The following is a 26,039-nucleotide window of genomic DNA, read 5'->3' as shown; positions in this document are numbered from 1 at the left end:
AGGATCACTTGAGCCCAGGAGTTTGAGACCAGCCTGGGCAATATAGTGAGATCCCATCTCTACAAAAAATTGAAAATCAGCTGGGCGTGGTGGTGAGTGCCTGTAGTTCCAACTACTCGGGAGGCTGAGGAAGGAGGATTTCTTAAGCCCAGGAATTTGAGGCAGCAGCTGAGTCCAGAGAACTGAAAAATACAATAACTGAAATTAAAAAGCTCTCTGGATAGATTTAATATAAAGGGGAGATGCCAGAGAACTGAATCTGTAAACTTTAAACAGATCAATAGAATTTACTCAGTTTGAAAAACAGGGAGAAAATAGACTGAAAGAAAAATGAGCAGAGTTTCAGAGACCTATGGGATAATAACAAGAGATCTAAGTTCATATCATTGGAGTTTAAGAGGAAAGAAGTGGGACTGAAAAAGTATTCAAAGAAATAATGCCTGAAAACTCCCCAAATTTGGCAAAACTATAGTGGCAGAGGTAATTGACTACTATCATGAGGATATAGAGTTGCTACTATGTAACGGGGATAGAGAGAAGTACCAATGGAACTCAGAGATGTATTGGAACATGTCTTGGTGTTTCCATGCTTGGTGATAGCAGTGAAGAGGTAATTGCATCAACCAAGGTCTGAAAAGGGTACAGTAACCAGGGGCTTGGGCCCTTCAGGGATGAAGGTCTGAGTCACCAAAGAGCAAGAAACTGAGACCAGCAGGAATGCTGAATGAGGGAGCCTAGAATGAGTGATAGAAGAGGGAGACAATAGATAACAGTGATGGTCTTGGGACCAACTGCAGCAACAACTCTACTTATCTGGCTAAATCCTCTGTTTTAGGTCTTTTTTTTTTTTTTTTTTAAGAAACTGTAATCAGCCACCACCTTGAGGAATCAATGACAGTACAAAGCAAATATAATGTTGGGTAAGAGGGTATCAAAGCAGTGGAAGGGTTGACTGACACTATCAATACCCTCCTCTGCATAACCCGTTTACATTTTCCATGGACGGCCCAACTTTCAACTGTCAGCACCTCTGTGCCTGAGGGGATCTTTCTGGCAACTGGCGCTTTCTTTGCCCATGTACATAGTAAACCCTGAATACTAGAAAATTAATATCCCTGGTAATTAATAAAATTAATATCCTTCAACCAATGGCTGACAGGAGTTGGTAAATGGAAGCCAGTCAACAAGATGACCTCAATGATCTCCATCATCTCTGGTATTCACACCACTGTGCAATCGCCTTCTACACTGTATAAGGGTGGGTCTGTGTGACCAACAGAATACAGCAGAAGTGGCCAGAATCGCCCTGTGGATCTCAGGAGGAAGGCTGAGTTGGAGGGTGGTTTGTGCTTGCTGAGACAGCACTTCAGGGATGATGGCAGAGGGAGGTAACCACGGCACCAATTTGCTGGCTGCAGAGACTGCAAGTTTAGAACAATAGCTGCAAGAATGGGGAAAAGTGATGTTGATGGTGGATAAAGTCTTATTATGGGAAAGAGCTTGGTTTTCACCTGCCATCATGGACTTGGTTTCTTTGGTGCTTCAATTATCTACTATCTAGATCCATCTGTTCTGTCTGCTGTTTCCTCTTTTGTTGTGTTTTGGTGCTTGGCTGACTACCTTGTTCCCATTCTAGCACCTAACATTTTTGGCTCCAATAAATGCACCAGCAATCAACAGCAAAAATTCCATGAAATTTGCAGCAATCTACTAAAAACTCAATGCAGAGCTATGGACTGGTGGAAACAAATCTTCGCACTGAAGGAAGAAAAGCCTGAAATGTGTTTCATGGCCATGATCATTTATCTCGCTGCAGTTGTTTGGATGGGACAGCAAGTCCACAACCTGCTTCTCAGCTACCTGACAGTGACTTTCTTACTGTTGCTTCCTCAACTAAACCAACACGGAATCATTTCAAACCACACTGGAAAGGCCAAAGGGAGATAAACAAGCTTCTCGAACAAAAAGAAAAGAAAAATGAATAATTCATCCACTTTATTCAATGTGATTAATGGCATATACATTGTCCCTAGGAACAGTTTCTGCTATACTATCCAGATACTAAAATGTTAAAGAAGTAGCTCTTTGTTCTCCCTCACTCTACCCTTAATTATTCAATAGTCTAAATCCAATGGGATAAAAGAAAAAAAAAAGAAAGAAATTCACACTTACCAAGTAAGTGTCTTCGAGTCAAATACAGTTAAAAGCATTTTTATTGGTGGTCTTACATGGATAACTCATTAGAGAGTATGACTTGTTTTGATTTTTCTCACCCAGGGTTAATGGAATTCTTACATTAAACAACTTCCTTTAAAATAATACAGTGGTGAACTTTACCCTTTAGTACAGTTAAAATGACTTTGGATAATTGTTTAAGTTGATCCTTGCTTTAGTTTGATACCAGGTAGTGGTCTGTGGCTACAGGAATCTTGTTCTACTGTCTGCTTCCACTGCCTGCTTAAAAAACTGTCTAGCTTCATGAATACAGAGACCAAGTTTACCTCTTCTGATGAAGAGGCCAATTAAGATTTATTCCTCGGCCGGGCGCAGTGGTTCATGGCTGTAATCCCAGCACTTTGGGAGGCCGAGGCGGGCGGATCACAGGTTAGGAGATCGAGACCATCCTGGCTAACACTGTGAAACCCCGTCTCTACTAAAAATACAAAAAAAATTAGCTGGACGTGGTGGCGGGCACCTGTAGTCCCAGCTACTCGGGAGGCTGAGGCAGGAGAATGGCGTGAACCCGGGAGGCGGAGCTTACAGTGAGCCCTGATCGCGCCACTGCACTCCAGCCTGGGCGACAGAGCGAGACTCCGTCTCAAAAAAAAAAAAAAAAAAAAGATTCATTCCTTCATTCCTCATTCTGCTTTTTTACCATGGAAAAAGGATCCTGATGGAACAAAATTAAATTAATTCTATACCCTAGTATATGTAGGTTTCACCTTTATGCAAAACTTAGCGTTTTGTAGGGAACATTGATCCTTTCTCCCAAACGAGGAAGATCTAACAGCGTTAGAGCTCTTATGACCTTGCACTTAGACTTCAAGTTAGTACATCCTTAAAGGCTTTTTCACAGCAGACTTCCAAAAGATTGTACTTAGGATTTTTGGCATACTTTTAATTTTGGATTTTCAGCTGACTTTAGCTATGACAGAGAGTAGGTTAAGACTCATGTGTACGACCTTTACCCTAAGACCAGCTAGTAAAGGACTAGTCTTTTATGTTAGCTAAAATTCATTTCAATAGAAAATAATCGTATCTAATTAATTTCTGAGACCAGAATAAGCCTTGAAAGGTAAGCCTCAATGTTCTCATTTATGGTAATACTGCTTGTTTCATTCCCAATAGGTTTGGCATAGGAGATAGTGATCACACTGGTGTCTGACTATTTTTTTAGATAGTTCTCTGAAAAATGCAAGGCTGTTGGTGAGAGCAGACATGAGGTGATGATAGTTGGCCTCTGGTCTCCATAGATTTTGTAACTCCTTGGTGAGTTTGTGTGTGTGTGTGTGTGTGTGTGTGTGTGTGTGTTTCTAATAATCATTATAATCATGATAATAACCATTTTCTACCTCTCAGTAGCTAGAAATTTACAGTAGTTGAAATCTGTAGGAATGAACCTCTGAGGGCCAAATATATGATATATTTGGAACAATTCTTAAATGGATTAACAAGCTGTAATATAGTTTTGTGAATTTATTCCACTGATGCTGTACCTTTACATTTAATGCTCACCATTAAATGAGTGTTGTTTTCTCCCCTTTAATATTGCTGTAAACAGTGGTGCCCATTGTGGGATATGTTTTATTTTTTAAATGTTTTATATGAGAACTATCTTAAATGTACATGTGTTTCTTCATTGTAAATAAGCCTGTCTTCTTATGGGGATATTTTGTGTGTGTATACATTCTACTGATTAACTACTTTTGCAGTTTGAATCCTATATTATTTCTTCTACTTTGTTATATGTAAAAGGAGAAAAATGTTAGAAGCTGGGGGAAAAAAAACAGCAGAAGTGATGGTATAACACTTCTGAGACTGGACAATAAAAGATGGCTCTCTCTCTCTCTCTCTCTCTCTCTCTCTCTCTGTCTCTCTCTCTGTCAACACACTACAGCCATGTGATAAGAATCTGGGGACTTTTGCCAACAACAGCTATGTGAGCAAGCCATCTTGGAAGTGCACCCTCCAATCCTAGCCAAGAGACTAGAGGGAGAGAGAGAGAAGAAAATCTACCCATACTAAGACTTTGAGTAAGGGAAATGCAGTAAAGAGGGAAGATTGTAATTCCTTTCCCTGTTTTTCTATGCCCAAAAGTTTTTACACAGCTGTGATTATTCCGCATATTCAATTATGCACACTGGTTTTCTTGATTCATTGTTATATCATAAGCAGTTCACCATTTTTATGCAGTCTTAATGGACATCCTTTATTTGCTATGTGGTAGGTAAAATTTCAGTGAATAGACCCAAGATTCCCTGCCCTAATCCTCAGAATCTTGAATGTTATGCAATATTACTCTGGTGATTGTGTTGGGTTCTATGGCACAGTTGACTTTTTGTTTGTTTTGTTTTGTTTTATTTTATTTTATTTTATTTTTTGAGACAGAATCACCTCTGTCCCCCAGACTGGAGTGCAGTGGTGCAATCTCGGCTCACTGCAACCTCAGCCTCCTGGGTTCAAGCAATTCTCCTGCCTCAGCCTCCCTAGTAGCTGGGATTACAGGTGCCCACCACCATGCTCAGCTAACTTTTTTGTATTTTTAGTAGAGATGGGGTTTCACCATGTTGGCCAGGCTGGTTTTGATCCTGACCTCAAGTGATCCGCCCAACTCGGCATCCCAAAGAGTTAGGATTACAGGCGTGAGGCACCGCGCTGAACAAACAGTTGACTTTTTTTTTTTTTTTTTTTTTTGAGATGGAGTCTCGTTCTGTTGCCCAGACTGGACTGCAATGGCAAGATCTCGGCTCACTGAAACCTCCGCCTTCCGGGTTCAAGCAATTCTCCTGCCTCAGCCTCCCAAGTAGTTGGGATTACAGGCGCCCACCACCACGCCCAGCTAATTTTTGTATTTTTAGTAGAAAGACAGGGTTTCACGTTGGTCAGGCTGGTCTCAAACTCCTGACCTCAGGTGATCCACCCGCCTCGGCCTCTCAAAGTGCTGGGATTACAGGTGTGAGCCACCACACCAGGCCCACAGTTGACTTTTCAAAAGGGAGATATCTATGTACCGGTTGACATGAGACCTTAAAAACACATGAACTTTGGAAGATTAAGCCAGAAAGATTCCAAGCATGAGATGAACTTCACATGCTATTGCTCGTTTGAAGATGGTGGGACTCACATGAGAAAGAGTGCAGGTTGCCTTAAGGAGCTCAGAAATGCCCCCAGCCCACAAACATTAAGAATATGGGAACTTTAGTCCCACATCTACATGGACTAGAATTCTGACAATAATAAGAACTGGCCGGGCATGGTGGCTCACACTAGTAATCCCAGCACTTTGGGAGGCCGAGGCGAGCGGATCACTTGAGGTCAGGAGTTCGAGACCAGCCTGGCCAACAAGATGAAACTTTGTCTCTACTAAAAATAGGAAAATTAGCCAGGCATGGTGGCAGGTACCTGTAATCCCAGCTACTTGGGAGGCCGAGGCAGAAGAATCGCTTGAACCCAGGAGGCAGAGGTTACAGTGAGCTGAAATCCTACCACTGCACTCCAGCCTCAGCAACAGAGCAAGACTCCATCTCCGAAAAAAAAAAAAGAAAAAAAAAAAGCACCTGTAATCACAACTCAGGAGGCTGAGTCCAGAGGACTGCTTGAGCTCAAGAGTTCAAAACCAGCCTAGGCAACAGAGCAGGACCCTGTCTCTACAAAAATATATATATTAATTAGCCAGGTATGGTAGTATGTGCCTATAGCCCTAGCTACTTGGGAGGCTGAGGTGAGAGAATTTCCTGAGCCCAGGAATTTGATCCCACAGTGACCTATGATCATGCCACTGCCCTCTACCCCAGGCAACAGAGAAACACCTTGTCTCTAAATTTTAAAAAATATATAAAAAATAGGCCGGGCACGGTGGCTCACACCTGTAATCTCAGCACTTTGGGAGGCCAAGGCAAGCAGATCCCAAGGTCAGGGAAATCAAGACCCTCCTGGCTAACATGGTGAAACCCTGTCTCTACTAAAAATACAAAAAATTAGCCAAGCATGGTGGCGGGTACCTGTATTCCCAGCTACTCGGGAGGCTGAGGCAGAAGAATGGCATGAACCAGGGAGGCAGAGCTTGCAGTGAACCGAGATCACGCCACTGCACTCCAGCCTGTGTGACAGAGCGAGACACCGTCTAAAAATATATATATATATATATATATATAAAATAGAAAAAAATTTAAAGAATTAACTTGGAAGAGGACTCTGAACTCTGTGTGAGCACTTGAGTACTCACCCAGCCAATGCCTCGACTTTACTATGGTTATGCCCTAAGCATGGAACTCAGCTGAACTTGCTTGGACTTATGACCTACAGAACTACAAGCTAATATATGGGTATTGTGGTAATTTGTTATGCAGCAATAGAAACTAATACAACTTTAAAATATTCCATTGATCATAGCATTCACCATATCATTTGCATAGTATTGTTTTCCCTAATTGATAACTATATGAACAATTCATACTCACCAAGTCCAAAGCCCTTAAATATCATTTCTATGGCTTCTTTGGTTGTCTTGTAAACTGGAAAAAAACAAAGCCTCATTTCTAGCCTGCATTTATTTAAATGAGAGCTCAAAAAAATGAATTATTAGACAAAAGGAACATGAACATTTCAGTGGCCTGGATTCATGTTGTCAAGATTACTTTCCAGTGTGACTATGTCTGTTCAAATTCCACCTCAAATGTTCATTTTATAAATTAGAATGAAAAAGCACTCCTATCTCACCCAAAGAGAATTTTGCTTAATCTTTGACTCAAAAAATATATATATATGTAACATATGACTGGCCATATAACTATGTTAACTTGGAGCAGCCCTCACTTTTGATGTCCCAATAACCTGCAATCTGAGCTTCTGCACTCTGATCGGCTTTATCTCATGTGGAGGTAGCCACACAGCAATCGTGTACTCTCTAAACCTAGCTGACAGCAAGTTGTAGCATTTAACAGACTTCATTAAAAGATTTGAAGAGAACATAAGGGAATTATAAAGCAGGAAATGAAAATCTTAACATTTACTGTAAATTTTTATTGTGCTTAATGCCTACTGACTGCATCTTGTCATAGGAATCTCCTACTGGCTCTCCTGCCTCACCCAGATTTGCCACCAAATTGTTTATGTTCATTCTTTTTCCCATCTTCTATAGACTCCCCTGATTATGTTCATGCTCCCCAAGTCTGAAGCCCCTAAACTTCACTTCTAGTCTGAGTTATAAACCTCCAAAATATGTTAAGATTACATTTATTTATAGAGGATGCACATAATGAAGATAGCCTTTCGTAATTAATCAGGCTACTTAACATCTCACTCTGAAGCATTTGCATTTGGATTTCCAAAGTTCGGAGTCCCCCCAAAGAAAATGAGTATCACCACAGTGATCCTTCCAAAGCAACAATCCACCTGAACGACAAACTCCATCATTAGGTGGAGCTTTAGATCCACAAGATACAAATAGTGGTCAGGATTTCACCTTCCACAAACCAAGGGTAGAGAAATACTGAGTTCCAGTCTCAGAGGTCCTACCACGTAATACTTAGTGAAAATTCAAGACTAGAATTGAAATAACTAAACTTAAATAAAGTTTACTGTGTGCCACTACTTCTCTGAGTAACACTAGATATAGCTATAGATAGAGATATAGATGATACAGAGAGTCATAACTCACAACAGGCTTGTGAAGTAGATACTCATTATTCTCACTTTCTGGATAAGGAAATAAACCAAAAGAAAAAAAAATAGTGACTGACTTAAGACCACCCAACTAGAGAGTAGCAAACTCAAATCCAGGCAGTCTGGTTCCAAAGTCCCCAGTCTTAACTCACAGCAGGCATACACTCAGGAAATACAGCTTCTCGCTGCTGTGGTTGCCTTTTGAATTTTGGTGCAGCTAAAGAGGCCTCATAGTCACCGTGTCTCTCACAGCACAGAGGTAAGAGGCAGAGTCTTTCATCTGGAGCTCCTTCAAAAGGAGGTAACTGTACCCTTTAGACCGACTAAGGAATGAAGAAAAACGACCTTTCTCCTCCAAACCATCCAGAACATTGTAAGACAGAAATGTAGGTGCTTCGCCAGCATGTTGCTGGTACCAGAACAGCCCGTTGAACCCAGATGTCTGGTACGTGCAGTTGATCTGGACAATGGCACCTTCCGTAGCTGTCATCTCAGTGGGCTGGTCAATGTTTTGTCCTGTAGTGCCTAAGACAAGATACATGACTGTTACTAGGGCAGCGCTCCTGGAAACCCATTATCATTAAAAACGATGTCTCCATGTGGTCACAAAAGAATTGCCATTAAGGAGAGATTCTTAGAAATAAATGGCAGCAAAGTCGTTATTATTTGATATCCAATAACAATTAGCACCGCATAAAGAAAATATCTATTAAGAAACACTTTTGTTACGAGTGTCAGAAATGGCAATCATTTAGCTGAAAGAAAATCGTTTTGAAAACTCCCAGCAGCATTTGCTATTAGATTGAGACTTACCTCCCATCTTCATGGAAACATAAAGAAGGAAAACTCCCCACATCTGCTGCAGGATACCACGAGCCTGGCACTGCATTCCCAGTTCCTGAGCCATTGGAGTCTGCAGAAGGTAGACACTTCATGTGGGTGAGGGAAGGAAACTCAGTCTGGATGCAAAACCCAGTAGAATTACAAGGGGAGGAGCCCCTTTCTTGAAGGGATGACTTTCAACTTCCTTCTACAGGAGCAGCTGTAGGTTCTGTTACTACAGAAGTGTCTTCACATGAACATTTCCTACTGAGAAATCCACGGGTTTTAATCCAAGTGATTCTGGTAAAGTTGAAAAAGCATAATGTATAAGGAACAGAGACGGCAAATGGGAATAACATAAGACAAAGTAGGCCGGGCGCGGTGGCTCACGCCTTTAATCCCAGCGCTTTGGGAGGCCGAGGTGGGCGGATCACGAGGTCAGGAGATCGAGACCATCCTGGCTAACACGGTGAAACCCCGTCTCTACCAAAAAATACAAAAAAATTAGCTGGGCGCTGTGGCGGGCGCCTGTAGTCCCAGCTACTCGAGAGGCTGAGGCAGGAGAATGGCGGGAACCCGGGAGGCGGAGTTTGCAGTGAGCAGAGATCGCGCCACTGCACTCCAGCCTGGGCGACAAAGTGAGACTCCGTCTCAAAAAAAAAAAAAAAAAAAAAAAAAAAGACAAAGTATTCAATTTCCCCATAAGTGTTTCTCTTCTCAAGACAGGAAGAAATGGAAACAAGGTTGCAATTAGAGGTGGGGTGTGTGTGTGTGTGTGTGTGTGTGTGTGTGTGTGTGTGTGTGTTGGTGGTAGTGGTGGTGGTGGTGTTTGTGACAATAAGGAAGAAACAGAGAGTTTTCAACCATCTAAATTTGTCTCCCAACAGATGATCAGATATTAATTTAAAGTTCAAAAGAAACATAATTTGTATGTCTGTAGGTGTATGTACATGTACGAATATACAGGAAGAAATGAGAAAAAAGCTATTAACATTAGTTACTGCCGGGCACAGTGGCTTACGCCTGTAATCCCAACATTTTGGGAAGCTGAGGCAGGTGGATCACCTAAGGTCAGGCGTTTGAGGCCAGCCTGACCAACACGGTGAAACCCCATCTCTATTAAGAATACAAAATTAGCCGGGCATGGTGGCGCATGCCTGTAATCCCAGCTCCTCGGGAGTCTGAGGCAGGAGAATCACTTGAACCTGGGAGGTGGAGATTGCAGTGAGCTGACATCACACCATTGCACTCCAGCCTGGGTGACAAGAGCAAAACTCCCTCAAAAAAAAAAAAAAATTAGTTTCTTCAGATGAGTGAAATTAAAAGAAATGGTGAAAATGTTAACTTTTTCTTATATATCTCTGTTTCCTTTGACTTGAAATTTGTTACATAATAAACTGAGAATGTGGAAGAAAGAAAAAGAAAGAATAAAAAAGGAAGGAGGAAGACTAGGTGTAAAACAGGAAGGAAAAGACGGAGGGAGGAAGAAAACTATATTTCAAACTATTTCCCATGTGTTACAAAAGGAAGTTAACTCTTTTTGATACATAGTTTTCCCAAACTAATTAATGCCTCACATATAATATCTTTACCAAAGTAATTTATATCCCTCATGAACTCTCTGGATTTATTTCTATTTACTCCATATAGCAACTGTACTTTGTTTCAATAAAGATGATACTGTCATCTTGTGGCAACAGGTAGCAGTGCAACTTCACACACACACACACACACACACACACACACACACACACACGCCTAACATTTTCTTACTTTAGAATTAAAAGAAACTTAGAAATCATCCAGTCTTTGTCGAGCTCCATCATCTTACAGGGGAAGTTCTTGAAACTCTTGAAGCTTTTATCACACTCCAGGCTTCATATCTTCATTTGTAGTCAATTTCCCACTGTTATTTAGATTAACATGAATTTTTTTTTTTTTTTTTTTGAGAGAGGGTCTCTCTCAGTCGCCCATGCTGGAGTGCAGTGGCGGGATCATGGTTCACTGCAGGCTCAACCTTCTGGGCTCAAGCGCTCCTTCTGCCTCTGCCTCTCATGTAGCTAGGACTACAGGCACCCAGCTAATTTTTTGTATTTTATTGTTGAGATGAGGTCTCGCTATATTGTACAGGCTGCTCTTGAACTCCAGGCTGCAAGCGATCCTCCTGCCTCAGCCTCCCAAACTGTTGGGATTACAGGCATGAGCCACTGTGCCCTGCCCAACATTAAATATGAAAAAATGAATAAATAGATTTCCGAAGCTACTTGCCCTGGTATATGCAGGTCACTCGAGGATCAATTTGATGTCAGATCTACTCCAGGTAATTTTAAACATTAGATTTATATTTGAAACCACAGCTTTTTTTTTCTGCCCACAGCATTTAACATGTGTGGCAGTTTCAACTATTAATTTATTCAGAAGTACATATTGAGAAATTATTACATGCCAGGCACTATGCTAGTAGTGCTGGGGATTCAAAGCTAAGCAAAACCCACATTCTAGTGAAGGGAGACAAGCAGTAAACAAACAAGTAAATACAGTATGTCAAATGGTGGCAAGTGCCGAGAGAAAAATAAAATAGGGAAGGGAAAGGAGAGAGTCAACAGAAACCTCTCTGATTAGGTGATGCCTGAACAGAAACCTGAAGATGATGGTGGAATCCTGATGAGTATTTGGGGAGGGAAGGGGATCAGTTGAGACTTCATAACACCTCTAAGAAATTAGAGGTCATTCAAATAACATGCAAACAAGGTTATTCCCCACAGTTCCTTATCCAGGGATCCTACTGGAAACATTTCCAGCTCTCTCTCTCAAAACAAAATAATGAGGATTTGGTGAGGAAAGATCTCATTAGGGACATACTTCAGAGTAGTAGGGTTTCCCTCGAGGTTAGAATTTTTCTTTAAATCTCTTGGCAGTGTCTTTTTTTCTTTTAATCCAAAAAAGCAACAGCTGATGGAAACTGATATAAAATATGACTGAATATATACAGAAGTCACACTTGTCCAAGAACCCCAAAGACAGGCGTTCTCAAAGATTCTGAACACTTATTTGCTGGGCCAAACTCCTTAAAAAAAAATTATAAAGGCTTTCCGAAACAGATGTGGGAGCCCTTTATAGTAGGCTAGACTGAATCTCTGAAGACCATCTCTCCATCCGCTGGACCGTTGCACTCAAGGGCAGCCAGCCTCCTCCACAATTGTGCAGCTCTATACAAGTGAGTCTAAAAGGATGGAAAAAGCAGGCCTGACACCAGCTATGTTCAAAATAAGGCTGCAGACTAATTTTGGAACTTTAAGACTTTCTGTTATTTTGTCCGAGTGTTAATTTAATCCGTCTCTTTTCTCCATGCGTTTCCTCAACTCTTTCCCAAACGGGCTAGAATTAAGTTCCTTCTTTTCAAACTTGGGGAAACTCTTTTTGTGTTGAGAAAATGACTCAAAAAAAAGCATTACAACACTATTTTCTTTTCATATTCTCTTTTTATTAGGGCAGTGATAAAGGGCAGAGTTGGGCAGTGATAAAGTCATAGGGGTCTTGAAGAATATTCTTCAGTGATTGTGCAAACACAAAGAAAGGCTGGATTCATAACCTTCCCCTTCTCCAATGAAGAGGGCACTAAGTACTTTTTCTAAAGCAAGTTCGTTTTTTTTAACCCCCGGTAATAGGAAAGAATGTACTCTTGTGAATTCGATAAAATATGTCTAGGCCACCTCAAATTCTATCCATTTCCTCTACTCTGCCCTAGCTCTACCAGGATGTCTAACTCTGAATAAAGGATGACAGAAGGTGAAACTTCTTTTTGGAAGCAGATTGGGTTGAGTTTTGTCACAAGGGTAAACAGGAGTCCTTTGATCATAATGTGTCCAACGCAATGCTGGACCAGCCTTCACTCCTCATCTTCAAGATTTCATAACCGTTGCATAGTAGTCCAGATCCCAAAGGTCACTGTAGAAATCTAGGTTCAAATTGCTGGATAGAGGCTTGCCCTCCTCGGCACCTCTCTAAATACACTGCAAGAAATGTGTTCACATATCAAACTAGCTTGATTTGGGGCAGAGTAGGGGCATAGAAAGCAGCTTATCCTGTGATCCCATAATGCCATAGAGGTCCCTTGAAGGTGTTCTTGACCCTCCCTGTCCTTACCTTCTCAGTGCTACTCTTTCACCCCATTCCCAAAGTCTCTTCTTAGAGTTTCCAGGATAATTGCTTTGTAAAAATATGCTGTTTATTCTCTGATGTCACTGGGCTCTTATTTTCAGATGCTTTTTATATTGAACTTTAACTTTTTGTTATTTTCATGTGTTTTGATTATTTAAATTCTGACCTATCTAATTGGAGAATATCCAATACAGTCTAAAACTTGGGGAATTTTAGAATATTTTGGTTATCTAATTAGCTAGGGTAGATATACTAAAATTGTATTTAACTTTCCTTATCTTAAATATCATAAGTTTCAAAAGCTAAAAAAGAGGAACAGACCTAAAATAAAATGACACAAATCTGGAAGATAAGGGAGGGGGAAAAGAGGATACACAAATACGGCCTCTACATTTGTCTTTTTTTTTTTTTTTTTTTTAGACAAGGTCTCAACCTGTCACCCAGGAAGGAGTACAGTGGCACCATCATGGCTCACTGCAGCCTTGACCTTCCAGGCTCCAGTGATCCTCCTGTCTCAGCCTCCTGAGAAATTAGGACTACAGGTGCCCACCATTATACCTGGCTAATTTTTAAAATTTTTTTTACAGACAGGGTCCCACTATGTTGCCTAGGCTGGTCTCAAACTTCTGGGCCCAAGCGATTCTCCAGCCTCATCCTCCCAAAGTGCTGGGATTACAGGCATGAGCCACCATGCCCGGCCTTTCTTTTGTCTCCTCTAAGGTGGTCCCAGACTGTTCACCTCTCTTGCCAAGAAAGCCAATCCTTCTGTAAACACACTCTTTGTTTCTCCAAAAATCTACCTTCTGGAAGTCTAAGCTATCTTCCTCTGCAGCCTCTGAATACCAAACACCAAGCTAAAACCACTGTTCTTTACCAAGTCTGCCTGGAAAGGTATCCTGTCCTCAAACCGACCAGCTATAACCCATCTCAGTTTCCTGCCTCCTCCCAGGCAGGGAACCCAGAACCTAGAGGGGTAAAAAGAGCTTTCTTTCAACAGGGAGCCTGGGAGAAATGAAACCAGACTTAGGCACAACAAAAGGGGGAAAATCAGACCGGCAAAGTAGATAAATTAGGGATAAACTTTTCACTATACGAAAGTATGCATCATGGAAGTCCTTCAAATAATTGCCCCAGTGGTACAGTTCTATCTGATTTTAAATATAAAAATGGATTTTCATAAAACATTTCATGAATATATTATTTGCCTAAGTAGAAGCCTACTAGTTTATATTCCTGTATTGGCAAAGAAAATTACTTTAGCTCAGCTGGGCGCGGTGGCTCACGCCTATAATCCCAGCACTTTGGGAGGCCAAGGTGGGTGGATCATGAGGTCAGGAGTTCAAGACCAGCCTGGCCAATATGGTGAAACTCCCTCTCTACCAAAAATACAAAAATTAGCTGGGCGTGGTGGCGCGCACCTGTAGTCGCAGCTACTTGGGAGGCTGAGGCAGGAGAATCACTTGAATCTGGGAGGCAGAGGTTGCAGTGAGCCGAGATCAGGCCACTGTACTCCAGCCTGGGCAACAGAGCAAGACTCAATCACACAAAAAAAAAGAAAGAAAAGAAAATTACTTTTAGCTCATAATAAGTATATATATATATATATATGTATATGTATATATATTTTTTTAAGAGATGGAGTCTCGCTCTGTGACCCAGGCTGGAGTGCAGTGGCGCAATCTTGGCTCACTGCAACCTCCGCCTCCCGGGTTCACGCCATTCTCCTGCCTCAGCATCCCGAGTAGCTGGGACTACAGGCGCCCACCACCACACCCAGCTAATTTTTGTATTTTTAGTAGAGACGGGGTTTCACCGTGTTAGCCAGGATGGTCTCAATCTCCTGACCTCGTGATCCACCCACCTTGGCCTCCCAAAGTGCTGGGATTACAGGCATGAGCCACCGCGCCTGGCCATAATTAGTATTTTATGCACCATTTTAATCTCAACTCTTTCTATCTTTGCTCTATATTCATTTTTTTTTTTTCTTTTTGAGACAGAGTCTCTCTCTGTCACCAGGCTGGAGTGCAGTGGTGCGATCTCCACTCACTGCAACTTCCGCCTCCCGGGTTCAAGAGATTCTCCTGCCTCAGCCTCCCGAGTAGCTGGGACTACAGGCGCCCGACACCACACCCAGCTAATTTTTTTGTATTTTTAGTAGAGACAGGGTTTCACCATGTTGGTCAGGGTGGTCTCCATCTCTTGACCTCATGATCTGCCTGCCTCGGCCTCCCAAAGTGCTGGGATTACAGACGTGAGCCACCACGCCCAGCCTCTTTTCTCTATATTCTAACCACAAAAATAAGATTTAGTTTTCCCATCCATTTTCAAATAAATCAAAGTGTCCTCCTGAAACTCAGGCAATAAAAATCTGATATTTCTTCGTTCTTGGTGGGCAAAGGACAAGTTTAACATTTTCCAGACTTCGAAGAGCCAGATATATTCAGTATTATTATTATTACTACTAATAACTCTTGAATGTTAACATATGAATTAAGTTATTTCACAGAATACTTAAGATAAAATCTCTTTGGAGAATTTCCGATAGAGATTAAACTTATTAATATTCACATGTTATTTATAATAATCTATTGTCATTTTAATTGCTTTATGAAAGTAGTCATTTGCATTACAAAGATATTTTGTAGTTAAATGAAAGATAAATGCATCTCAAACCATATATAGAGCGAAAAGTCTTTATCAAGCAACCTATTTAACAAAAAGAGTGAAACAAACACATTCCATCCCTCTATTTTATCATCTTGTTCAGATACTTGAAAATCTGTAAATGTCTTTAGAGAGAGTTGCTGTTTGATAGACTGCAATACATAGATATTACACACAAGCACACTAAAGATCAAGTCCTGCATTAATCAATGATTTTATAACAAACAATAAAAATTCCTCTGTGACCTCATACCAAAAAAAAAACCCAATCCCAAACCAATGAACCATATAAATCAACAAATAAATCTAAATGATATCCTGGAGCAAAAACAGGCATAAATGTTTCTTGGAGTTTTTTATAATGAAATTATACCCATATTACATGGTGAATGAGGTGGTCCCTTGACCTAAAAGTCCCAGCCATGTGAGCACAGGGGTCAGACAAAAAAGATCAAGAGAAACAATGTATTCAGTCAGGGGGATTTGGCAACATCCATTCTATCTATCTCAGTCATTCAGAAAATAATTACGGTATTTATCACTTTTAGCATGCTAGACGGGATGATTATTAAGAGAGAAAAACAGAAATTAGACAATGCAACATAATGTACGTGCTCAGAAAAGTATAAGCATTGTCCTCAGGGATCCGGAAAGCCTTCTTGAAGGTGAAGACACTCAAACTGAATCCTGAAGGAAAAGTGGGCACTACCTATGTGAAGGGAGCAGAAAAGATAGTGTGTGCGTAAGTCCCAAGTTAGAGCACACTACTGTGAGAAGCTTGAAGAGTGTCATGCCTCCCAACAATAAGAAGGAATTACAAGTGGTACAATAGCGATATAAATAAGGGCCAGATGAGGAATATTTTTGCATGATATGTTAAGGAGATGAGATTTTAGCTGAGGAAAAAGGGGACAATGATAGTAGGTGAAGAAAAAGTAGATGTGGTCATTATAGGGTGTTTGTTCCACACTGCTCTGCATCAACTTTAGCCCCTCCTTGGCGAACTCACTTTTTGGTTGGAATTTTCGGTACTTCTCTATCACTCTCATGTGTCCCTCTTCCTTCATCTGGCAAATCCTGGCTTTCAGTATCTCTCAATGGACAAGAGTTTCCTCCCATCTAGGAAACTAACCAGCCTCTGGAGGACTTCTCCTTTTAAGTAAACCTAAATAACTAATGGTGACACCACCTCCTCTTTTAAAAAACAATTTGACTCTATCTTGTTTATCTCATAATTCCTAGGCATCAATCATCCGACAAAAGCATTCACTTACAACATCATTGTGCTGTGTTTCTCTTGTCAAACGTCACCATTCATCTTAGCAGACTACAAAAAGACATGGGAAAGACCAAAAACACATCGCTGGATGCCGTGGTGACAGATTTCATTCTTCTGGGTTTGTCTCACCCCCCAAATCTAAGAAGCCTCCTCTTCCTGGTCTTCTTCATCATTTACATCCTCACTCAGCTGGGGAACCTGCTCATTCTGCTCACCATGTGGGCTGACCCGAAGCTCTGTGCTCGCCCCATGTACATTCTTCTGGGAGTGCTCTCATTCCTGGACATGTGGCTCTCCTCAGTCACCGTTCCTCTGCTTATTTTGGATTTTACTCCTTCCATCAAGGCTATCCCGTTTGGTGGCTGTGTGGCTCAACTGTATTTCTTTCACTTCCTGGGCAGCACCCAGTGCTTCCTCTACACCTTGATGGCCTATGACAGGTACCTGGCAATATGTCAGCCCCTGCGCTACCCAGTGCTCATGAATGGGAGGTTATGCACAGTCCTTGTGGCTGGAGCTTGGGTCGCCGGCTCCATGCATGGGTCTATCCAGGCCACCTTGACCTTCCGCCTGCCCTACTGTGGGCCCAATCAGGTGGATTACTTTATCTGTGACATCCCCGCAGTATTGAGACTGGCCTGTGCTGACACAACTGTCAATGAGCTTGTGACCTTTGTGGACGTCGGGGTAGTGGCCGCCAGTTGCTTCATGTTAATTCTGCTCTCGTATGCCAACATAGTAAATGCCATCCTGAAGATACGCACCACTGATGGGAGGCGCCGGGCCTTCTCCACCTGTGGCTCCCACCTAATCGTGGTCACAGTCTACTATGTCCCCTGTATTTTCATCTACCTTAGGGCTGGCTCCAAAGACCCCCTGGATGGGGCAGCGGCTGTGTTTTACACTGTTGTCACTCCATTACTGAACCCCCTCATCTATACACTGAGGAACCAGGAAGTGAAGTCTGCCCTGAAGAGGATAACAGCAGGTTGAAGGACTGAATGAAAATAAGTAACTACATCTGCATCATTATCACTGCCACTCTCTTCAGCTACTGCTGCATGTGACAAATGCCCAATAAACTGCTAAGGATTTAAAGTGAATTTATTTTCATTTTCTTTGGCAGAAAATTCTGAATTATTTCGACCCAAAATCTTTTCCCCTAATTAAACTGGTTCAGGTTGTTTTACATAATCTTTTAGAAATAAATGGATACATTATTTCTATCACCTCTATCTTGTGAGATGAGAAAATGCCTTACCAAAGGTTGAATAAGATGAGAATGTGTCAATGTCTTAGAAAGTATATCATGCCAGAAAATTTGAAAAGAGTAAAAAGGGGGCTCCATAACCCCTTGTTTCATTGTCTTTGCTCCTAATCCTAGACCCCTCTAAATTCCATTTCTTTGCTTGTGCATGGCATGAATATTTCCAAGCACTTGAACTTGAAAATTCTGGATTATTTGTGTTTTCTTCCTGTCCCTCGCCCTCGTGATGTGCTAACACATCAGATTCTGTCTCCTCAAAACTATGAAACCAGCTCAAACTGATTCAGTGTAGACTGTCTCTCTTAATTCTTGACTAGTTCTTCCTCATCTAGACCACAATCAAAATTACCCTCTGAAACACAGAATCTGTAGGACTCTTCGGCGAAGGTAGAATGAATAAGGCCAGGCTCCTTAATCTGGAATTCAAAATCCAATGCAATCTTGGCTTCACATACATGTTCTCTTAAGCCATTTCCTCTGCTTCCCTCTCCCACCCTCACTGATTTATTGCCGTTCCGTGAGCATGCTCTATACTTGCCTGTACTCTTTTGCTCAAGCTCTCTTCTCTGCCTGGAATATAAGTCCTCCCTCTCCATATTGACCAAGTGACAATTTATGCTTCCTTCAGATCCATATTAAATACTTCCTCATCTGTTTTTCCCAGGCAGGACTTAACTCCTCTTCCCTGGTATTGCCATGGCTTCTTTAGTATAGACCTTGCCCCAGTCTGTCACGTATTACAGTCAAGAATTTATCTCCTACCGGGCGCAGTGGCTCACGCCTGTAATCCCAGCACTTTGAGAGGCCGAGGTGGGCAGATCACGAAGTCAGGAGTTCAAGACCAGCCTGGCCAACATAGTGAAACCCCCATCTCTACTAAAAATATAAAAAGTTAGCCAGGCATAGTGGCATGCACCTGTAATCCCAACTACTTGGGAGGCTGAGGCAGGATAATTGCTTGAACCCAGGAGGTAGAGGTTGCAGTGAGCGGAGATTGCACCACTGCACTCCAGCCTAGGTGACAGTACCAGACTTCATCTAAAAAAAAAAAAAAAAAAAAGTCTAAAAAAAAAAGGAATTTATCTCTCTTTCCACTTCAAATGGATTGTGAGCCCTCAAAGGACATAAAGCATTCATTTGTGTTTGTCTGCCTCTATTGCCTAATAACTACGAGCAGACACAGAAATCAATATTTGCTGCTGAATTTTTTTTTTTTTTTTTTTTTTGAGATGGAGTGTCGCCCTGCCGCCCAGGCTGGAGTGCCGTGGCGCGATCTCGGCTCACTGCAAGCTCCGCCTCCCGGGTTCACGCCATTCTCCTGCCTCAGCCTCCCGAGTAGCTGGGACTACAGGCACCCGCCACCACGCCCGGCTAATTTTTTGTATTTTTAGTAGAGATGGGGTTTCACCGTTTTAGCCAGGATGGTCTCGATCTCCTGACCTCGTGATCCACCCGCCTCCATCTCCCAAAGTACTGGGATTACAGGCGTGAGCCACCGCGCCCGGCCATTTGTTGCTGAATTTAAACCGCACTGCAAAAGTCTCTTGAAATGTATCTTAAACTGAAGAAATTATTGTCAGTTCTGCCGATTACCTGTCCTGGTCTCACCTGAAAAAAGAAAAAAAAAAGAGAACATTTAAGGGAAACTGAAGACAGAAGATTCAACTACATGGCAACCTAAAAGCAAGCATGGACAGTTCCTTGGTGAATAACCAAAAACAAGGTAAATGTATTCTTTCATTCGCTGGCATATTTTTCACTTCTTTGGATGTGTGGTATCATGTTGGCCCATTTTAACAGTAAAATTTAAACAAATGCATGGAAAGATTCAAAATTCGTAAAGGTAAAAATATATTAATGTGGATATAAGAATCACACTGTGCTATACAGAAACACCATAATATCAGGAAGGATATTATATGTTATGCATACATATAATACATGTTACACATAGTATGAGACGACAAGCAAGGCAGTACAGAGTCCACAATAATTTGTTAATCTTGAAACAAGCCATTGAAAATTTCCAACTGGACATTTAAAAAATAGCATTTCTAATAGAATCTAGAAGACACTGATTGGTCTAGCAAGTCTTCTATGCGGCACTTAAGCCAATGTGCCATATTGCTCTTGTCAGAAGACATGAGATCTTAAGGTCATATGTGAGTTGATCCACAAACTATAACTACTCTTAGGATTACATGTATGAATGCTAAGTTCATCATTAAAACAGAACTAATCTTGAGTGATACTGAGTGATTTGTGTGTGTGTGGTACAGAGTCGTTAGCAGGAACTCACCTAGCCTCAACAAAGAAAACTGTGAGTCAAACCGGTGAAACCAGCTCAAACTCTGAATCAATGTAAACAAACATGAGGCTGCACCTGTGCTTGCTTCTGTTTGCTGTATGAAACCTGGATCCCACATGAACAGACACTTTTCAAAAGAAGACACACATGCATCCAACAAGCAAACAAAAAAAAGCTCAGTATCACTGATCGTTAAAGAAATGCAAATCAAAACCAAAATGAGATACCATCTCACTTGAGCCAGTATGGCTATTATGAAAAAGGCAAAAAATAATAGATGTTGGTGAGGTTATGGAGAAAAGGGAACACATACACTGTTCGTGGGAGTGTAAATTAATTCAACCATTGTGGAAAGCAGTATGGCGATCCTTCAAAGAGCTAAAAGAAGAATTACCATTTACATTTAATAGCAATCCCATTACTGGGCATATACCCAGAGGAATACAAATCATTCTACCATAAAGACACATGCAAGCAAATGTGCATTGATTGCAGCACTATTCACAATAGCAAAGACATAGAATCAACCAAAATGCCTATCAATGACAGATTGGATAAAGAAAATGTGGGACATAAACACCATGGAATACTATGCAGCCATAAAAAAGAATGAGATGTATGTTTCTGTTCCTGGGTTAGTTTGCTAAGGATAATAGCCTCCAGCTCCATCCATGCTGGAGGAACCAGGAACGGAAAACCAAATATCATATGTTCTTACTTATAAGTGGGAGCTAAATGATGAGAACTCATGAACACAAAGAAGGGAACAACAGACACTAGACACTAGGGTCTACTTGAGGGTGGAGAGTGGAGGGAGGGAGAGGAGCAGAAAAGATAACTATTGGGTACTGGCCTTAACCTGGGTGATGAAATAATGTGTACAACAAACCCCTGTTATACGAGTTTACCTATGTAACAAACCTGCACATGTACCCCCAAACCTAAAATAAAAGGTTAAAGAAAGCAAATATAAAGTGAGCTTTTAAATCTCTGGAAAAAATAGGCTAGTTTTAAATAAAGGCTAAATAAAGACATTCAAGATAAACAAAAGCAGGGAAAAATTTGTTAGTAGAAGATTGCTTTACAAGAAATAATAAAGGAAGTTCTTCAGGCAGAAAGCAAGTGACACCACACAATACCGTTTGAATCTATGCACACACACAAAAAAAGTGCTGGTAAAGGTAATTATGTAGGTAAGTATAAAAGAAAATATAACTGCATATTTCATCTCTTTTATTCTCTTAACTGAATTAAAAAGCAATTTCATTTAAAAAAAAGTGGGCCCCTTCATTTCAACAGCATCCTTTCTGAGACCTATTTCCACCTCCTTTTGCACAACTGCTTCTTTCTTCCTTTATTCCATCCCCTTTAAGATAACTTCCATTTGTCTGAAGAAACTAAAGGAACTAATTAAATTGATTCATGCTAAATATTAAGGGTGGCGGGTCACTTAACTTCCCAGGATAGTTGACTATCAATTTACAGATAGTTAGTGAAAGATAGCTTTACTTCAGTGACCCCAGGTTTTAATGATAAAACCTGATAAACTTTCAGCATATCTACCCATTTTTAAAAATATATTGGTATGAAAAGGAAAGAGTACAACTTTTAGAGTCTGTTAGAAGAATCTTGGTTCCGCCATCAACCAGCTATGTGTCCTTGGGAAAATTAACTATCCTTTCTAAACCTTGATTACTTTACGTATATAATAAGGGCAATAAGACTTACTTCAAAGGAGACATAATATGGTTTGCATTTGCGTCTCTGGCCAAATCTCATGTCAAACTGGAGGAGGGGCCTGGTGGGAGGCGAGTGAATCATGAAGGCAGATTTCCCCCTTGCTGTTCTTGTGATAGTGTGTGAGTTCTCATGAGATCTGATGGTTTAAAAGCTTGTGGCATTCCCTCTTGGCTCTCTCTCTCCTGCTCCACCATGGTAAGATGTGTTGCTTCCCCTTCACCTTCCGCCATGATTGTAAGTTTCTTGAGGCCTCCCAGTCATGCTTCTTGTTAAGCTTGTGGAACTGTGAGTCAGTTACACCTCTTTTCTTCATAAATTGCACAGTCTTAGGTAGTAAGTGTAGCAGTGTGAAAACTGACTGATACTAACTGATACTAATGAGATCTGATGGTTTAAAAGTGTGTGGCACTTCCCCCTTCACTGTCTCTCTCTCCTGCTCCACCATGGTAAGACATGTGTCATTCCCCTTCACCTTCCACCATGATTGTAAGTTTCCTGAGGCCTCCCAGTCATGCTTCCTGTTAAGCCTGTGGAACTATGAATTAATTAAACCTCTTTTCTTCATAAATTATACAGTCTCAGCTAGTTCCTTATAGCACTATGAAAATGGACCAATACAAGGTATTAAGAGCATTGAATAAGATAACTAATGTGAAGTTTCTGAAACATGGTAGACACTTAATAAATACAGAGTGCTGCAATCATCACTCTTGTTATCATCCGGGACTTAAAGAAGGGTTTGTCTTAAGGGATGAGCAGGGAATCATAGAAGAGTGCAAATACAGAAAACATTTTGTGATGAAGGGATCCATCATTCCCTCCAGAGGATGGAGTGTAATACTGGAGAGTGAATTATCAATAAACCAGACAAGTGGAGAGTACGTCAGCAACAGCAACAGAAGCACAGACAAAGAGAGTTTTCATTTTCACATTCACAGAGCACTAGGAGGACCAAGTTATGCTGCTTCATGAGAGCAATGACCAAGCTATAACAAACTTTTAGTTTCTGAAATTTTTAATCTCCACAAGGACTGGTCTTGATTGTCTGAAGAGCTTGGACAGGTAATTAAGAGCCTTCTGTTCTTTTTTTTTTTTTTTTTTAGTAGAGATAGGAATCTCACTATTGGCCCAGGCTGATCTTGAACCCATAGCAATCCTCCTGCCTCAGCCTCCCAAAGCGCTGGGATTACAGGTATGAGCCACCGCACCTGGCCAAGAGTCCTCTATTCCTCATGTTGATATTTATCCCTCAAAAAATGTATATTTAAGTTATCTTTAATGTGTCATTACTAAAATGTGTACTAAACCTTAGATGACCATGATGGCCCTGAGGAAGGGCTTGCTCTTTTGAAGTTCTTCTCCAAGGAACACAAAGGCAAAGAGTGTAAGAAAGAAAAGTCTTTAATGGTCCCTGGGTGCCCACTGATCTGAGCACAGGTGTCACATGCCTCAGTTTAACATTGGACCTCAGGCTCATGTTGCTAGAGAGCAGCAGGTGCAAGTTATAAGAGCAACTCACAATGAAAGGAAGGAATGCCAATATTAGTAACCAGCAACCCCTCATCTGCCTCACCATCCCAGATGGGGCACTCAGCCACTTTTTGACCCTTGTACAATAAATTTGGGTGAGTTTTCAACTCTAGAGGTTTAGTCCAATTTATCTTTTGAGACTGTAGTTTTCCAACTTTGTTTCATTTAGAATCACTTGGGAGACTTTTATTTAAATAGTTCTGGCTCCATCACCAGAAATTCTGATTAAATTGACCTGGGATGGGACCTAAGCATAGGGAATTTTAAAATGTGATTCTAATGCAGACTGAAAAGTATTGCCCAAGTAGATCTGACAGTCCTCGGGGAGATCTTACTTTCCAGATCAAGACTTGGTTAGCAAGCCGAAAAGTATGGTTAGTTTGCAAGTCAGTCCACAGACTTGGAAGGTCAAGTCCCCAAACCTAGGTTGCAATTCCCAAGGTAAGTTGTCTAGACCAGTAAGTGTAAATCTTATTTATTCTAGTTCTGCCTACTTATTAGCCACAAAACATGCACAGGCCTCTCTTAATCAGTAGTATTATTTAAAGGTATGCCTACCTGGCCAGGTGCAGTGGCTCACCCCTGTAATCCCAGCACTTTGGGAGGCCAAGGTGGGCATATCACGAGGTCAGGAGATTGAGAGCATCCTGGCTAACACGGTGAAACCCCGTCTCTACTAAAAATACAAAAAATTAGCCAGGCATGGTGGCAGGTGCCTGTAGTCCCAGCTACTCAGGAGGCTGAGGTAGGAGAATGGCGGGAACCCAGGAGGCAGAGCTTGCAGTGAGCCGAGATCGCACCACTGCACTCCAGTCTGGGCAACAGAGCAAGACTCCATCTCAAAAAAAAAAAAAAAAAAGAAACATATGCCTACTAGGAAAGGAAGTTCTGAAGTACTTCCTAATCCCCTCAGAAGTTCATAAGGAAATGTAACAACAGAGACCAGGAGATTCTGAAGTACCAGGATTACATAATTTAATTATGAGATGTAGCACCTGCTTTTCAAGTCACCTCCCTCCCCACACTCAGTGACTAAGTGCATTCACAGAAATCAAGTTTCAGCTGAGGGGATAACTGAGGAATGGCTGGGTCAAAATGGGAAGGTGAGTTTAAAAGTCCATGCCCAGAATTGGCCCAGGAGAACAGAGCCAAGGGAAAGCTCATGTATGACCAATGGCTGGATATGGGTCAGTTGAAAAGTACAAATGCATATAAAACTCAATAATAAATAATGGATAAGCATGTGGTAACCACTGTAGAGGCAGAGTCAAAATACACTTAAAATTCAGAGTATACGTGAGTCAAATATGTGAACTAATGTCTTCCAGGCAGGAAGCACTTGCTTGAGATTCAGAAAGATGACAAATAGGAAAATTATGTGCTTGCACTTGCTCAAAAGCCACACAGAACACTGCCTGGCAGAACATTCAACCAAGGCTGTGTTTCGTCCTCATTTTCTTTTTTTTTTTTTTTTAGATAGAGTCTCACTCTGTTGCCCAGGCTGGAGTGTAGTGGCACCATCTCAGCTCACTGCAACCTCCACCTCCCAGGTTCAAGCGATTCTCCAGCCTCAACCTCCCAAGTACGTGGGATTACAGGTGCACGCCACCACGCCCAGCTAATTTCTGTGTTTTTAGTAGAAACGGGGTTTCACCATATTGGCCAGGCTGGTCTCAAACTCCTGACCTTGTTATCTGCCCATCTCGGCCTCCCAAAGTGCTGGGATTACAGGCGTGAGCCATTCGTCCTCATTTTCTATCTGGAATTGAGATTCCTCATTTAGGAAAAAAGACAGGGTTTCAAAAGGGTACTGGCAGAGTCCAGCTTAGAGTTTTACTCCACCTCATAAACTGATCCCTCAAAATGTCAGCTTTTGTCTGTGCCTTTACCCTTGGTTCAGTATCCAAACCACAGCCTCAAGGGTTGCCTGAGAAGGGTTATGTGTGCATTCTGGGCCTCCAGCGCTCATGTCCTAAATCCAGTGGTACACAGCACACTCCTTATTTCCCATCCAAATTCATATTATCAAATCTCTTAAGGATTTTTCTTAGAAAAAGATCCAACTATTCCTTCAAAATTTTTAAACTCTTCTTAATGAAGATCTTGGTTTTTGTATTTCTTCCAACTGACCTCCTTCACTTCCCTGTACCCCTGAGTACATGTGCAAATCACTCTTAAGGCACATGGATGGTGCTGATTTTCCAAAAAGCAATAGATAGCCTACTCAAAACATGATAATTTGCGGAGAGTTTTCTCTGCATAGGAACTATGTACAAAGATATGGGAGTAGAGAAACCACAAGAAACAATTGAATAACCTAGGGCTCAGTAACACCTAAATTATTTACCACCATTAAGCCAAAAGAAACAAGAGAGGTATCTAAG

General features: G+C 41.4%; 1 protein-coding gene, 1 pseudogene, 1 gene segment (V, D, J or C) and 1 further gene, besides 4 other annotated features; 2 read left to right on the top strand and 2 right to left on the bottom strand.

Moving 5' to 3' along the window:
- TRA (T cell receptor alpha locus) overlaps positions 1-26,039 on the bottom strand; it is a 930,229-nt gene that overhangs the window by 900,420 nt on the left and 3,770 nt on the right.
- ARL6IP1P1 (ARF like GTPase 6 interacting protein 1 pseudogene 1) lies at positions 1,308-3,996 on the top strand (annotated as a pseudogene).
- Positions 8,088-8,096: a recombination feature (nonamer).
- Positions 8,097-8,119: a recombination feature (spacer).
- Positions 8,127-8,740, bottom strand: TRAV1-2 (T cell receptor alpha variable 1-2). The segment is given in 2 exon segments: positions 8,127-8,409; positions 8,698-8,740. Coding segments are annotated over 2 exon segments (326 nt in total), but the record flags the coding sequence as incomplete, so codon positions are not given.
- Positions 8,402-8,409: a sequence feature (TRAV1-2 leader sequence).
- Positions 8,698-8,740: a sequence feature (TRAV1-2 leader sequence).
- Positions 16,773-17,877, top strand: OR10G2 (olfactory receptor family 10 subfamily G member 2). Its single transcript, NM_001005466.2, has one exon. The coding sequence runs from the start codon at positions 16,871-16,873 to the stop codon at positions 17,801-17,803; it is 933 nt and encodes a 310-aa protein (NP_001005466.2). The 5' UTR covers positions 16,773-16,870; the 3' UTR covers positions 17,804-17,877.

This window comes from Homo sapiens, chromosome 14 (genome assembly GCF_000001405.40).
Source record: "Homo sapiens chromosome 14, GRCh38.p14 Primary Assembly".
In the NCBI taxonomy this organism is placed as follows: Eukaryota; Metazoa; Chordata; class Mammalia; order Primates; family Hominidae; genus Homo; species Homo sapiens.
Note: the sequence above shows the minus strand (reverse complement) of the source record. Positions and strands in the feature narration are given on the sequence as shown.

What these genes read in the sequence shown, in the direction of transcription:
- OR10G2 (NM_001005466.2), top strand. Translation starts at nt 16,871, where the DNA reads ATGGGAAAGACCAAAAACACATCGCTGGATGCCGTGGTGACAGATTTC.